A 15,519-nucleotide genomic window follows, 5' to 3' on the forward strand; every position below is an offset into this window, starting at 1 on the left:
CTAGTGTGATATATATATCAACACGTATGCCTGAGAGCACCGTTGTTGGATATGAAGGTCTGGCTATGATCCCAGTTTTCTTATTAATTGACAGGGTTGAGTCAGAACAGTCAGCAGATCATGCCAATCGCTTTGTGTCAACACCCTGTTGAGGAAGCTGTAGCTATCTTTGGTAGCAATGGTCAATGTTCCAGTTTTCTGGAACAATTTTCTCACACAATGAATTCATGCTTGTGCCCTCTACTATAGAATAAGCTCCCTGAGAGTAGGAAGCAGGGTCCACATATATGGTGATGATATATATCATCACCACATATGCTGATTTAAGCATATATGTGCTTAAATATATATATACTGCATATATATATATATATATATATATATATATATATGCTTAAATCAACATGTCCCTTTCATGTCTGCAAAATGATAGCTTATGAAAATATATTCACTGTTATGGTGTAAAACTGTCCCTAATGCCATTTCCCCTTTATTTATTTGGGTTTGTACATTTTGAAGTACTGGTAGAAGAAAAGAATTGTACAATTTTCTTAAAGTTTATATTATGGGAATAATAATGGAAGTTCCAACTTTTCTTATTGCTAGAAGACAGCCATAGTTTTTACTTTTCAACACCAATTCCTCAGGTAGGTGACTGTACATAATTTATAAAAATGTCTTCAATAAATGACTACTATTGGAACAATCACTGGAACATGGTGATCTATTTGCTGTTCCAAGAATACAAGAGAATCAAATGTTAGATTTTTTTTCTTTCATGGTTTACCTGAATTCCATGCTATAAGTTTGGTAAACTTCTTTTTTATTACACAGATGTACTTAGCTAATGTGGTCATTGATAAGAGTGTTTTTTTAAAGAAGCAGAGATGAAAAAAATCAATGTAAAAGTGTTCATATTGGGAAATGAGCTGCAGTAAGAAATGATTACAGGCTTTATTTAAGCTGTGAATCAAAGCAAACATATATTCTCTTTGCCTGGAAGACTGATGAAAGTTGGCAGCAAGAAAATTAAAATTTTTCTGTATATTCACTATATAATTGAAGTTCAGTTTCTGCAGATTCTGTCTGTTCTCTCATTGATTACTCAAGCACTTCTAAAAAAATTCCTGCCATCTTACTCATAATGCACCTTCATAACAGGCACGGTGTTCAATTCTCTTTGTGCGATATAGTTAGCAACAGTGCAGTAGTATAAGGTGAGTATTACACCTTGAAAAGCAACTTTTTTTTTTTTTTGAGACAGAGTCTCGCTCTGTAGCCCAAGCTGGATTGCAGTGGCGTGATCTCGCTCACTGCTGCTTCTGCCTCCTGTGTCCCAGTTCAAGGAATTCTCCTGCCTCAGCCTCCCGAGTAGCTGGGATTACAGGCATGCACCACCACATCCAGCTAATTTTTGTATTTTTAGTAGAGATGGGGGTTTCACCATGTTGGCCTGGCTGGTCTTGAACTCCTGACCTCATGATCCACCTGCCTCAGCCTCCCAAAGTGCTGGGATTACAGGCATGAGCCACTGTGCCTGGCCTGCAACTTGTTTATTAAAGGCTGTCATATAAAAAGCATATATTTCAAGAAATTTTCTTGATATTGAGAACCATATATGGCACCTAAAGACTATGCATTTATATGATTAAACTGTTTACGTGGCTAAAACAAAACATATCATCTAAAAGACAATTTTCAAATCTTTTGGTGGGATTGTTATTTGGTGATGCTTTATAAAATTTTATTTAAAATTTTTGCTTTTCAACTTGTTTTAATATTCTCTTGTCTGTAAGAAGAGAATAAATATTTTCAGATACTTTTATATTTTAGTCATTCTCATTGCAAGTTGCACAGAGAACATCATCAACTTCCATGTGACATATCTGGTGGATAAGTTCTTTCAGATTAATCCATGCAATTTAGTTCTGCATTTATGTGAATAGTTTTTAGTCATTTTGAATTCACAGAACCTTTGAAATTTTCCACCTTTTTGCTATGACTATTATCTGGTCGTGGGTCATCCAATTTTACTTAATAGTCATTTATCTTGCTTCTCTATTGTAGTGTTTCCTCTTCTGTATTATAGGCGAAGAGATTGAAATATTATGATTTTTTTCTATTTTATTTTTATTTTTTGCATTGTAGGTTATGGGAAGAATGTCTTGAATCTTTAAATGATATGTGTAAAAGTCATTGTACATTAATTCAGACAATTTAGCTATGCTCCTTTTATATACGTATTTTAAACTTCCTGGGGTCACAGACGTGTTTTGAAAAGTAATGAAACTATCAAATGCATATACAATTTTGCATTTACTATTAGAGGGATCATTGGCACCCTTAAGACATTCTAAAGACTTGTGGATATGCATACCCACACGGGTAGAGACTGCTGGGCCATTTAAGAAGATATTCAAGATATACAACTACATTAAACACAACAGAGGCTTACTAGCAGGAATATTTTTTCCAAGGAAAAATAGGGTGTTTTGGAGAGGATGGCATGGAGGATGGTAATTTGGGGATAGGTTATTGAAGAGTTTAGGAAGAGGATTATAGGTGGTTTAGTTAGGAGACCTAAAGAACACACAGAAAAGTATTTCATCTTACACCAAGCTTATGTTTTACAGAGAAGTATCTACTGTGGCAAGACTAACACTACTCATTTTTGAGTTACCATAAGACAGATTTCCGAATTCCATTTAGGATGAAGTTCAAAAGTTCTAAGATTTAATAGCTGAAATGCCATACTGGTTTTTAGAAATATTTGAATTTTATATTGAAAGTATGTTTGTTAAAAATGAAAACAATGAAAGAATTTACGAGTTTACATAAAAGCCATTTCCTAAAAATTTTTCTAGATTTCCTTATCTATTGGCAATGGGAATTAGTGATTGTACTTTTGTCATTTCCAAGGCACATGTCTTAGAACCCAAAGCAGCTTATTAAATGGCAGTCTCTGGACCAATATAAACTAGGTGTTAATTTTAAATCCCAAAACTAGGAAGATAAGTATTGTTTAAATGTTTAATGGTTCCATTACTAGAAAAAGTCTTTCAAGATTTGAAAACTAATTGTAGTCTCTATTTCAAGGTTATAGAAAACTGACTGGGATAGGGACTCATTTAGTTATTCCATGTGCTTTTGGACATTTTTGTTTGGCAAATCTGTAGTTAGATATCATTATTTCCCTTTAAAACTCCTTTACCAATTTGGCTGCTTAGATGCCCTACTAGAAGAGACAGAAGACAGCCCTTAAGTCTGGTAAATATTATTAAAATCTATAAAACAAGGCAGAGAGAAAATAATATATTTTTACCTGTTTTATACTCTAAATTCATTTTAAACTTTTTAGTTGACATTTTCAAACAAAAATGTGATGAGAATAATATAACAAACCCCTATATATATCACGGAGCTTTAATAATTTTTAATACTTTGCCATATTTAGCATATTTATTATTTGTTGAAACATTTTTAATGTTTTTGAGTGTTAGAACCATTCTTAATTGCTTGAACATATACAGATGATTGAATAAAACAAAATATATTGTTCAGTGGGTTAGCGCACGCAAAGACCTGTGTAATGTCTACCGAGGTTGGGATCTAGAACATGGTCAAAACCCAAAGATCATGCTGCTTCCTCACCACTACACCCTACCTCCCAAAATTAAACAAACAGTATCCTGAGTTCCATGGGAATTACTTTGCTTTGGCTTGCAGTTTTACTTAAGAGAACATGCATTTTTAAATACTACAGTTTTATTTCATAAATTTTAGTGGAATCATAGACTAGGTATTCGTTTGTATCTGGCATATTTCGAATATTCGTTTCAAATATTCCTAAATGTTATTGTGTGTAACACTTTTTCATTAACTTTCAGGGTCGTATAGTATAGATGTACCATAATTTGTCTATTTCACTGATGATCAACATTTGGAATGAGTTCTCACTTTGCAATATTATAATGCTGTATAAAATTCTTGTGTATACCCTGTTTACACACATGTGCATCCATTTCTCATGTCTGCAGAGAAAAATTATAGGATCATTAGATATACAGATCCATGTTTAGAAGGCAATGACTATTAGGTCTACTTAAGTCAAATTTTTAAATCGTGTTATTTACAGATCTGTATTCTTATGATTTTTTTTCTTTTTGTTACTGAGAGAAATGAGAAAATTCTCCCACCATGACTTCAGACCTATCTATTTCTCATCTAATTTTTCCCAATTTCTGGCTGTTCCGATTTCTTGCCCTCTTCCTAATTTTTCTTGTGAGTTTTGATTAAAGATCTCTGAAGAAGAACATGTCTGTGGATGTAAACTTCCCATGGGTTTACAGTCTCAGGCTTTCCCGGCCTTTAACAGCATATTCAAAAATTTAACTATTTTTACCTGTTTACCAGGCACCTCTGCTTTCCTCCCAAGCTCTGCCACAGTTGGACAAATAATTATCTCCTGTCTTTCTTTGGAGGTGCTCTTTCCTAAACTCATGTCTACTTTTTCTTTTCTATTTTTTTTTCTTTTATTTTTAGAGATGGGATCTCTCTTCTGTCACTCAGGCTGGAGCATAGTGGTGTAATCAATGATAGTTCACTGCAGCCTTGAACTCCTGGGCTCAAGGGATCCTCCTATCTCAGCTTCCTGAGTAGTCGGGACTAAAGGTATGCACACCCATGTTCCGTGTTCTGCTAATTGTTTTTTTTGTTTTTTTGTTTTTTTTTTTTGAGAGCCAGGGTCTCACTTTATAGCCCTGGCTGGTCTCAAACTCCTGCCTTCAGGAAATTCTCCCACCTCGGCCTCCCAGAGTGTTAGTATTATAGGCGTGAGCCACCTTATTTTTTTCCTGAAAAAAATATGATGTACACGTTTTGATATATGTATACATTGGGGAATGGATAAATCAAGTTAAATAATATTGCTGGCCCTCATTCTTTTTCTTTAAATTCCCAAAAGTTTCTCTTTCCCATACACATGCTTTTGGTGTTTTTGTTTTCAATGTTTTCTGAATTAATTTATATAATCCTTTTCTGTCTTCTATTTTGTCTATTAAGATTTTTATTAGTATTTACCTCTTCTTTTTTATTTTAGTATGCATTTTCCAATTCTTAATATAATTCATAAATTCTTCTTTGTACTTTTTCCTTTTATAATAAAAATATTCAAGAGTAAATGCTTCTTTTAAGGTAAAGATTTCACCGATGCATTGGTTTTTATATAAAGGCTACTTTAGATGTGAAAATTTAAGTTCCATTTAGGTTAAATATGTAGGACATCGTTTATTCATATGTATTTAAATAATATCAGAGATTGTATACAGATGCATAATTAGCTTTTATTTTGTTTTATGGATGTGTAAATATATTCTCAATTTGAAGAATTAATCTATTAAAATAATTCACTGGTTATAGTCCTTAAATTCTTCATTATCTTACTTATTTAACTCTTGATCATATAATTTTGAAAAATACCTATTGAGATTTCCCAGTATAATTTTGTCAATGTATATTCACACTTTGAATAGTTTTTTTATAGAGTTATTGTTATTTGACACATAAAGGGTTTTGACTTAATCTCTTTCCTAAATTGTGAATTTTAACACTATATACTACCCTTCTTAGCACTCTAAATAATGAAAACGTTAAGGTTAAAAAATTTCCCTTGGCTATAACTTTCATGGTGACCCATTTGCATTGATCCAGAGGTTAATTTTAGAGTGTTATTTTGCTTAATGGTTTTAATATTAAATCCCACTGTGACTGATAATATTTCCAATCTTGATTTGTTTTCTTCTTGAACTGAAGAACATAACTTAGAATTTTCATGCTTTATTTTAGTGTTCTTTCTTTCTTGTAATAGGGCTTCTTTCTGGTAATAGAATAACCGTTTCCATTTAGCATAACAGTACTAGACATTTTCATCATATTTTTGTTTACTGTTTATTGTAGTTTTTTCTTTTAATTTTCCATGACTTCCTTGTTTTTCAGGTATAGAGTTGTCCTTTTTTAATTTGAAATTTCTCAAGAATTCTTTCATTATATTAGAGGTAACTTCTTTTTCATAGTACTTACAAATGAACATATATTTCTCTATTATCATATAAAATTCTCTAACCCCCACTTTTTCTCTTTCTATCCCTCTTAATAAGATAGGACGTGCCAGATGCTTCTATTCCCCTGCTCCCTGTCTCCTCCAGTGAGACTTTTAAGACACTTTTGCTATGACTTCTATAATCTCAAAGCCACTTAAGCTCCTACATCTTAGATGGCTTTTACTTTTACTTCATGCAATTATTACATTTTTAACCTAGAGTATATTTCTTCATAAATCTCTATGTAATATTTAAGCTATACATCGTCATTTATTCTATATATCCATAAACAACTCAAAGTTTAATAATTTACCACTCTTCACTATCTTCTCATTTTCCCGTATAGGTTGGGATTTACTGCTTTGTTTATAATTATTCCTGGAATATTTTTCTTACATTTGGCATATGAGTGATATATTTCAAATCCTTGTATTTCCAAAAGCATCTTTTTTCCTCCCTGATAACAATGATATTTGACTTGAAGCTCTACTTGCAACCTAGAGTCCTTACCTCTTCTTAGTCTGTAGACATTATATTGTTCTAACATTTTCTTTTTACTCGGTGTGAATAAGCCATGGTTAGTTTGATTTGTAGGCCTTTTTAGTAGCTTAGTCTTTTTTCTTTTTTTTTTTTTCAAATTTTCCAATACTTCTTTGTAAAATTAAGTTCATAAATACTATTAAGAATTAGAAATAAAAGAGGGATAGAGAAAGTGTGTGTGTGTATTGAGCTTGAAATTCCTTCTGAGGCCTCTTTGTGTTGTTATTGCAGTGGTGTTCAAATAGTGTCTATTCTTACTATTTTTCATTAGATTCTGTCAGCTCTGTGTATTTCACTTGCTTTTCCTGTCCAGGTTATGTGCATTTAGGTCTGTCAGTCTTCTTGAACTCCTCACTTTTCTCTAGTTCTGCTACTGGGATTTATTGAGTGGCTGAAATCCTGTGAGGGGCAGGGGGCACAGTAGTTTCTGTTCTTTTTGATCAGTGATCCTCTAGCTATCAGTTTACCGTTCTCCATTTAGGCACTGGGTTGAAGTTCCCTGCTCTTTATCTGTGTGCTTTGGTGCTTCTCTCACCTAGAGGAACCAGCGAGTCCTCCAGGGAACACCTGCCTTTTTCTTTAAGAAAGAAAAAGGGAGGTTAGGGGCACAGCAGAGTTCTCTGCACATTCTTCCATTTTATTTATATTATGGTTCAATTTGAAAAAGATGTGATTTATACACAACTTTTTAGGCATCTATTGAGTAAAATGAAATATATCTGTAATCTTCTTAGTACATTATATTTATCAATATATCATACTTTTATTACTTGGTGGAAACACTATTAAGTAAGAAGTTCATTCTCATTTCATGTTCTTAAATATTTACAAGATGCACTGCTTCCTATGCCAATCTATGATTAAATGTAAAAGGGAATTCCTAGCACAAGTAATTTAATAAAATTTATACCTATGGACAAAGGAAATTGAAAAATATCAAACGGATTACTAAAAGTCTCATTTCTTAGGCTAGAATTGGAGAATTAAAATAAGACCTAAGCTTTAGTCTTTCTATGTTGTAAAGACTTGTATTATGTAAAGTATTCTTGCTTTTTAACTATACAGTGAAAAATGTAGTTACTACATAATGCCACCAAATACATTGCTGGACAAACACTTGAAAAGATCTAATTTAATGGCAATATTTTTTGTAGATTGCATTTAACAATCTTATTTTATGTCTATGTTTGGTTGGAATAATTCTTAGGTTTCCTTTCTCAGTTTTTTTAAGCATAAGGTCCTATTTGCAAATAAAAGACATTATATAAATGTCAGATTAACATTCATTCAAAATATAACATTTTGAAAAACATTGTTAGTGGAGCTATGGAAACTACTATTGGTAATCTTTGGTGGAAAATCATATTTTGAATAAGAATTACTTGAACTAATAATCTATTAAATAGAATCATTCTCATGAGGGATTTTATAGGTACTTTTGCAGTTTCTTAAGTAAATTCCAAAGTACTATTTCTTGCTTTAAAAAAAACAACAACAAACAGGCTTTCTTTGTTAGGTATCTTTATAGTTGATGGCCTGTCAGGTTCAGGCATTAAAACCATTTTTTAAAAAATTATTTTCATGAGTTATGTTGACTATTTCTCAGCTAAGCTCCATTTCACCAAAGATTGACCAATTTTGCACATGGCATAATTTTCCAAATTGCTTCCTATACATATTTAATGGATGACATATCTAACAGAAACAAACCTCTCTAGGAATCTAGTAATGGGATAGTGTTGTTAGATACAAAGGAAAATCTCATTTTGAAAAGTTAGACCTTTTATTTGTTTACCAAACACTCTGTATTGTAGTGTCTTAGCAATATTAACACATTTAATACCCATAACTATACTTTGAGGTTATTATTCCAATTTACTGAAGAGGAAATTTAGACACAGCTAGGTTAACACATTTATCAGAAAAGTCATACAGGTGGCGGATGGCACCAAAGATCCCATCCTGAGCTTCTTCCTCTAAGGCCCTATTTTGAGCCTCCAGCAAAGCTGACTTCCTTGTGATGGCTGCCTCCAATTTACTGATTGTGGGAGCTAATGCAAACTGCTTAACCTCTCCATGCTATGGTTACTCTCCCCAGAAAGTAGAGATGATAATACTTACTCTGTTTTTTTTTTCATAAGATTAAAAGAAATGATAGATGTAAATCATTTAGCAGGGTACCTGACTTCTATTATTATCTAATAGTTCATTTTGTTAAATTACAAGTTAAAAAGAAGTAAAATCTTTGAAAACGCTGAGTTAGGTTTAATCACAGTAGAAGTTTTACTGATGTGAGCAAGTATTTTGGAAAAATAGACACAGAGTACATCCTATGACATTTCATTTTCCATTCCATCTTTAATATTAGCTTTCCCCCAAAAGGCAAGAATAAGTCCTGGAAATTATACTAGACCACTGTACATCTTAATGTTCTTCATGAAATCCATTGTTGGATTTTTCTTTTTTAAATAGAGAGGTTGATATTGATTTCAATATTTGTAGGAGAAATATATTTAAAAGCTTTTCGGCTATTTGTAACAAACATGATTTCCTACTTGTGTCACTGTACAATATTGGATGGGAGGCTATTTAATTGTATATAATCCATTAACCCCTTTGATTCTTTTTGTAGTAACTAAAGCTAGTAGTAAAAAAAAAATGTAAAATCTGCTTTGATCTGCAGTTATTAACTAGAGGATACTCCAAATTTGGATTTAAAGCCATATATTGTGTAAAGCTACTACTCAATGAAAAATCCTCAATTATCTTAAGAGCTTGTCTTTACCATGCTTTTACATTTACAGTGCTTTCCCCTTCTCCCTTTACAAAATTTCTGCTTCCATAGTGCCGGGATGATTTAAGCAATTATTTATGATGGCATTACCTCATACTCATTTTCTTCTCAGCAAAGTTGCATCTATGTCAAGACTAAGTAGTGAGAGCCAATTGAACTTACTCCCCCTTCTTTGCTATAATCAATAAAATGCATTCCCTTGAGATCACACTTATTTTTCTCCTTGGATTAGCTGCAGTATTCTTTTACCCTGCAAATAGGAGAAAAAAAAAAATCAAAAGCCCCAACGACATTCCAAGATTCTGTTCTTGTCTTACTAAATTTCCTATTGTTGGATTATGGTAAGATTATAGACTAAGTGCAATTAAAGACACAAGCATGTTTAGAAAAATGGTTGGTCAGTTGATTTTGACAATGGGATATTCAAAACTCAGTATGAATCCTGCCTATATGAAAACACAATATGTGAATGATCTGGAAAGCATTTCCATTTTGACGTTAAGACCTTTATTATTTACTTTTCAGCTACTTTTGTGAGAAGTTACCAATCACTTCGTTCTGTGATGTATTTAGTCAGAGGCCACCAGATTAATTTTCTTGGTGACATGAGTACTATGGAAGCAAAAGCTAAAACCCAAATCAATGCTTCTATATGTTTTAAAATTCTCTGGCTTTTGGATAATAAAAGTCTGCTAATATAGGCAAAGGATCTTTTTCCATTGTAAAGTTTGTAGAAATTGAAAATGATGCAAGCAATTTAATAACATACTTTAGAGATGTTTTTTAATACTCCATTTAAAACATTTTAATAGAATCTTGCAGTTGAGAATTAAGATTCAAGTATTAACGTTTATAACAGGGAATGATAGACATGTTAATTCTGCCCATTATGGCGTTTAGTAAAATTGTTACTACGTGACAAATTCGTATTTTCTAAAAAGAAAGCTAACTTTAAAAAATTTCTGGTTCAGGTTGTCTAGCTCATATTCTTTTTTTCTAATATAAAATTATAGACTTGGAGGAGGGGTCAGAAAACACTGAAGGGAGAAATAAAACCAAGAATCTAAAAGTTTTATGGGAGTTCTCTGGGTATATAATATTATTAAGGCAAGCGTAACTACCAGTTGACCTGAATACCTCTAATATGTCCATCCCCCGAGACTGCAGAGTCACGTTCTCAAAAGGAAAACCGATTAGATGTCAAAGCTCTCTGAAGCACCTGAAGAAACCTTGAAAAAGACTATAAATTAAGTTTAGGGAGGCTATAAAGATAGTGGAAATGGATAGCCAAAAGTTGCAGTTGGATTAGAGGCTGTAAAGTTGAATAGCTACCTGATGTGCTCCACTTTATAATATATGATGCTTAGAAACCTTTGATATTAAAATGAAGTTGGATCATTATAAAAATAATTAACTTGGTAACTCAGAAGGGCAAATATTTACTCAAAGCATTTCTATATGGAGGGCAAAGTGAAAATAGAGTTTGAGATCTGAACACATTCTAAATAGTTACTTTTCTCCCTGTCTACAAGTCGGTAATTTCTAAAGATCACCTTAGTATAACCTACAGATACAGATGTAGAGATACTATTGAGTCTCTCTAATAAAGACTGTTGGACCTATATGAATAAAATTCATTAAAAAATAAAATGTAGAATTTTGTAGATTGCTCTTTAATCCATCAAATTTACTGAATAACTGTTTAACTCTGCACTTCATTACGCCTGTCTGGGTACAAAGATGTACAGCTTTATGGATACTCCACAACTCTAAAAAAAATGTAGAATTTTTTAGGTTGCTTTTTTTAGTTCATCAAATTTACTGGATAATGGTTTAACTCTGCACTTCATTTATGCCTGTCTGGGTAGAGAAGTACAGCTTTATCCATACTCCAAAACTCAGATTGGGTACTTGTCTACATAGAATATCTGATAGTTATACCTGGGTCAATTTATTTTACCCTGACACATTATTAGGGACATTGAATGCCCCCACCTTTCCAGATTGTTGACCAAGCGATTAATCATTGCTTGATTAATTTTTATTAGCAATATAAATGAGTAAACGAATCAAGTAAACAATGGTTCTATTTTGCCTTCCACATGATTAATCAATTTATAAGATTATTTTTACTTTTGAAAATTTCTTTTTATTTGCTCTCATAATTTCTAGAAGAAAGCAAATTATGAGTGTTTACCTTTTCCAAAAGTCTACCAAAAGGGCTTTGGTAATAAGATGATATTTATTCCTGGTAGACATCAAGCATGTAATCATTATTTTAAGAAGAGCATTGAGAATCCTTTGCCTAGAAGACCTGTTGCATCTATATTTATTTCCTTCTTTTCTTTCTCCCTCTCTTCAACCCTGCTCTTTTCCTTCCCTCTCCCTTCCTTTCATTACTACTTGCCTTTCTTTTCCTTCCCTTCTTTTCCCTTCCTTTTTTTTTTTTTACATTGCATTCCTCTCCTCACTTTTCATACGGTTGTACTAATACTCTCCTTACAGTCTGGGCCTCACAGGTAGAAAATCAAATGGATTTGAAGAAACAAATAGATCTGAGCCCATGTTCCTGAGGCACTACGCTCTATCAAAAATAAACAAATAATAGGATCAGGCATTCAAACTGGTGTTCCCATCACACTTTGTATATTTATATTGCAAGTCTAACCCTTTTCATTCTAAAAATATACTATCAATATTTGCCTATCTTTCCTATTAGAAGGTAGTATCTAGAGTTTTTTCACTTACATTAGTATGTTTATTACTTAGCATGATACCTACTTGACCAAGCAGATTAATCACTGCTTAATTTTATCAGCAATATGGATGAATAAAAGAATCAATAAATAACCATTTTGCCTTCAGACAAAGGAGTCAATGAGTACATTCAGAAAGGACCAGCCATAGAATTCGTAATTGCTCTTTCCAGGACTCATGGTTAGATAAACATAAATATAGGGCCCTGCAAGCTTGCTGAAATAAAAAAAGTACATTGAGAAGATTTGCTCCAGGAAACCACTTTGTCTAATTGATGTATTGGTTTCCTTAGGGTCAGCATAAAATTAGTCCTTTAATTTGTTATGGACTGTGATGATCAGAAATGTTCACTCTTTGTGGGTCTGTCTTCTGATGTAATTGCTACAGTCTTGAGTTCCTTAAAAAAAAAAAAATCGATGATCCTTAAATAAATCTTGAGCAATGTTCAGGTGATTATTTCTGCTCCCACCATCTCTCTTGCCTTTCCTAATACCTTTTCCCTAAATAAAGCCTTTCTCTAACACAACTTTTATCCAACTGGCTTTTAAGCAATTGAATTTTAGCTCTAGTGTCAGGGCATGTTCAGCTGCAACTTTGATGCAATAGTCTCCTCAGTGACTAGTAATGAAACTGTATAGTAGCATCAGTGAACACTGAATAAAAATTTTATCAGTTTTCTCTCAGTTTACATTGATGGGGGAGCAAAGATAAAATGGTGACGTCACTAATGTGAGAATTGCGATGTGTTAAAATTAATTCACAAAAATTTATATGTTTGTTTTCAAATGATATAAATATATTCAGTCTTCCTTAGCTATTTCTCTTGTCTTCTTTTCCACCTGATATTTTTCTGATACATATTTATTACTTTTCAATAAAAAGTGCTGTAAATCTTCAAGATAAAAGTATTATTATACACATCTTCCTTCTGTTCTTATGTGAGAATTTATCGAAAACAATGAGCATTAATTGGTGTGGCTGATTAATCTTTTATATCCCTGCCTACTACAGTTATGTAATTTCATAATAATAAAAACCTGGAAATATATATTTTTTTGCTTTCATGAGGCGTTATTCACCAATTGCCCTGGCTTACGCGTGCCCTCCCCTCCACCCCCCAACACCTGCCACTCACACACACGGATTTACTCTGTAGATCTATGGACTGCATTCTGCTATCCTTGAGTCTCTAAATCTTTATGAATTCTGGCTAGAGATTGTTTCAACATAGGAATTCACATGTTTTTTGCTCATATCATTTTTCTTTTCATTTTTGCATAAATTGTTAGAAATGTATTGGTTAAAAATTTTAAGTGCCCTTAATTTTTTTAAAAAAGCTAGTATTTTTTCTGATGAAAAATAAATTTATACCTTCTTCCTTGAAATATGACATACAAAATTTAAAAAATGCTAGAACATAATTAACATGGGCCTAGCTGAGGACCAAACCATGAAGTAAAAGTGAAAGAATTAGCTCATAGTCCTACAAAATTCAGAATTGAATTAGTTAAAATATAAATCTAGTAAATCTAATCTATAGATTTTAACGCATCCTACATATTTGTATTTAATGTATATATTATTAAGGAAATTGTTTTTACCAGCATTGCACGTGTACCATTTCACATGCTATATTTCACAAGAAATATTGCTCAGCCTCCCCACTTTGTGTGTTAATATTCTCTAAAGAGCCCAGTTGCACTATCCAACTGAAAAATCACTTTAATCAGTCTGTTTAGTAGTGAGGACGAGGATAATTTAACTCTAGAGGATTCTTTCCACTTGACTAATAGATAGAGCCTCAGATCTCAACCCGCACTTTGAAAAAGCATTCTTAGGAACCCACGCCAACTGGACGACTGATGGGGTACTTCACTATTTTGTGGCAGGAAAATAGGAGTATGAACATCCCCCAACCATAATGTGTCTACTAAATGAAAATACATGTTTTATTAGAATGAAAACCCACAGAGAGAGATTATACGAGGGCAGCAGTTTTCCCTTTCTGTTGTGCACACAAAGTAAACTGGAGCATGCTTAAGCGTGGACTCTAAAACCAGATACTCTAGGCTTGCTTTCTTCAAGGTATTTTTCCCTCATCTTTACATTATCTTTACAAAAAATTAAGGCCAATTACAGAGATTAAAAGAGTGAGAGTGGAGAAAGTACACAAATGCAAATATTTATACTTTAAGGATTCATGATATTAATAAAATTTTAGCCTATGTTTTCAAATATCAATGCCAGCCCATTCAATACTTCTTCTGAGTTTAATTTTTTGATGTAGCACTTACTGCTGTGCAATTTTAATATATTAACCCATTCTCCTGTTTATTATCTGCCTTTCCCCACTGGAATGTTGGCCCACATGGACAGGAAGTTGGTCTGTTTTGTTCATTGCTCTATGCACAGTAACTAAAAGAGCACCTGTACTTTATGGGAACTCAATAAACATTTGCTGAATTCAGCCAGGAAGTCAGCCTCAGAATGGTCATTGGAAAAAGAGGAGTTTCAGTATGGGAGCTCAGGAGGACAGTTTACAAAGAAAGATCTCCATTCTCCTCCTCACAGATCTTCACGATCTGTCATAAATATTCTACGTGCCCAGATCTTTATAAGTATCTGTAATGAATGATGTTTACAGTAAGATAGATATTTTTCAAAGACAAAAATCCAATTTTATTAGAAACTTCATGCCTCGGGCCTACATGTTGTGTAGTTTGTCATGAACTCTGTAACTGCTCATCTTTGCTTCTCATAGCGTACACATGTACATTCATTGTGCATATTGTTTTACGGAGAATTCATGCTTGGAAACATTTCCATGAATTTTGGAGACACTGTAAGAAATCAAGTTCTTTATGCTGCATGGTCTCCTTTTACACCAAACAAATTATAAGGTAATGTTAACTTAGTATATTTAGGAAGAAAGAATAATGCTGAAATTTGCTGTTGTACTTCTAAGATGTTCAATTTCAGGATAGAGCAGCATGAATTTATTGAGTATCAATTAATGATATAAGGCAATTTAAGAGCATTATCTTAATGCTTAATCTTAGAATGTTTGTTTTAATATTATATGCTGAGGATGAAGCAATATTGAAGTGCTATAAGCTTCATTTGTATTTAGCATAAAAGATTTTAAACTAATTAACCTAAAGGTGTCCAATAGGTTTTTCTTCTCTGTCTTTGTGTAGTTTAACATATATTGATGTTAAAACATAATTATATTTACTTTTGCCTAGAGAAGTAACACCACTTGGGGAAAATATTTCTGAGAGATAAGAAATACCCTTTTATAATATTTTCATATGCTCACCAAATCATTCT

The 15,519-nt window shown here is 32.7% G+C and overlaps 1 long non-coding RNA gene across 1 annotated transcript in view, besides 1 other annotated feature; it reads left to right on the plus strand.

Annotated features, from left to right (window-relative positions):
- LINC01098 (long intergenic non-protein coding RNA 1098) overlaps positions 1-15,519 on the plus strand; it is a 261,994-nt gene that overhangs the window by 209,560 nt on the left and 36,915 nt on the right.
- Positions 14,182-14,351: an enhancer, noted in NCBI's record as "experimental_76370 CRE fragment used in MPRA reporter constructs". NCBI's record gives its function as "activates a minimal promoter by MPRAs in K562 erythroleukemia cells, with activity observed for the non-introgressed 4:178873737 variant allele {active_cell/tissue: K562}" and the evidence as "EXISTENCE:reporter gene assay evidence [ECO:0000049][PMID:34662402]".

Source organism: Homo sapiens, chromosome 4, assembly GCF_000001405.40.
Source record: "Homo sapiens chromosome 4, GRCh38.p14 Primary Assembly".
Classification (NCBI taxonomy): domain Eukaryota; kingdom Metazoa; phylum Chordata; class Mammalia; order Primates; family Hominidae; genus Homo; species Homo sapiens.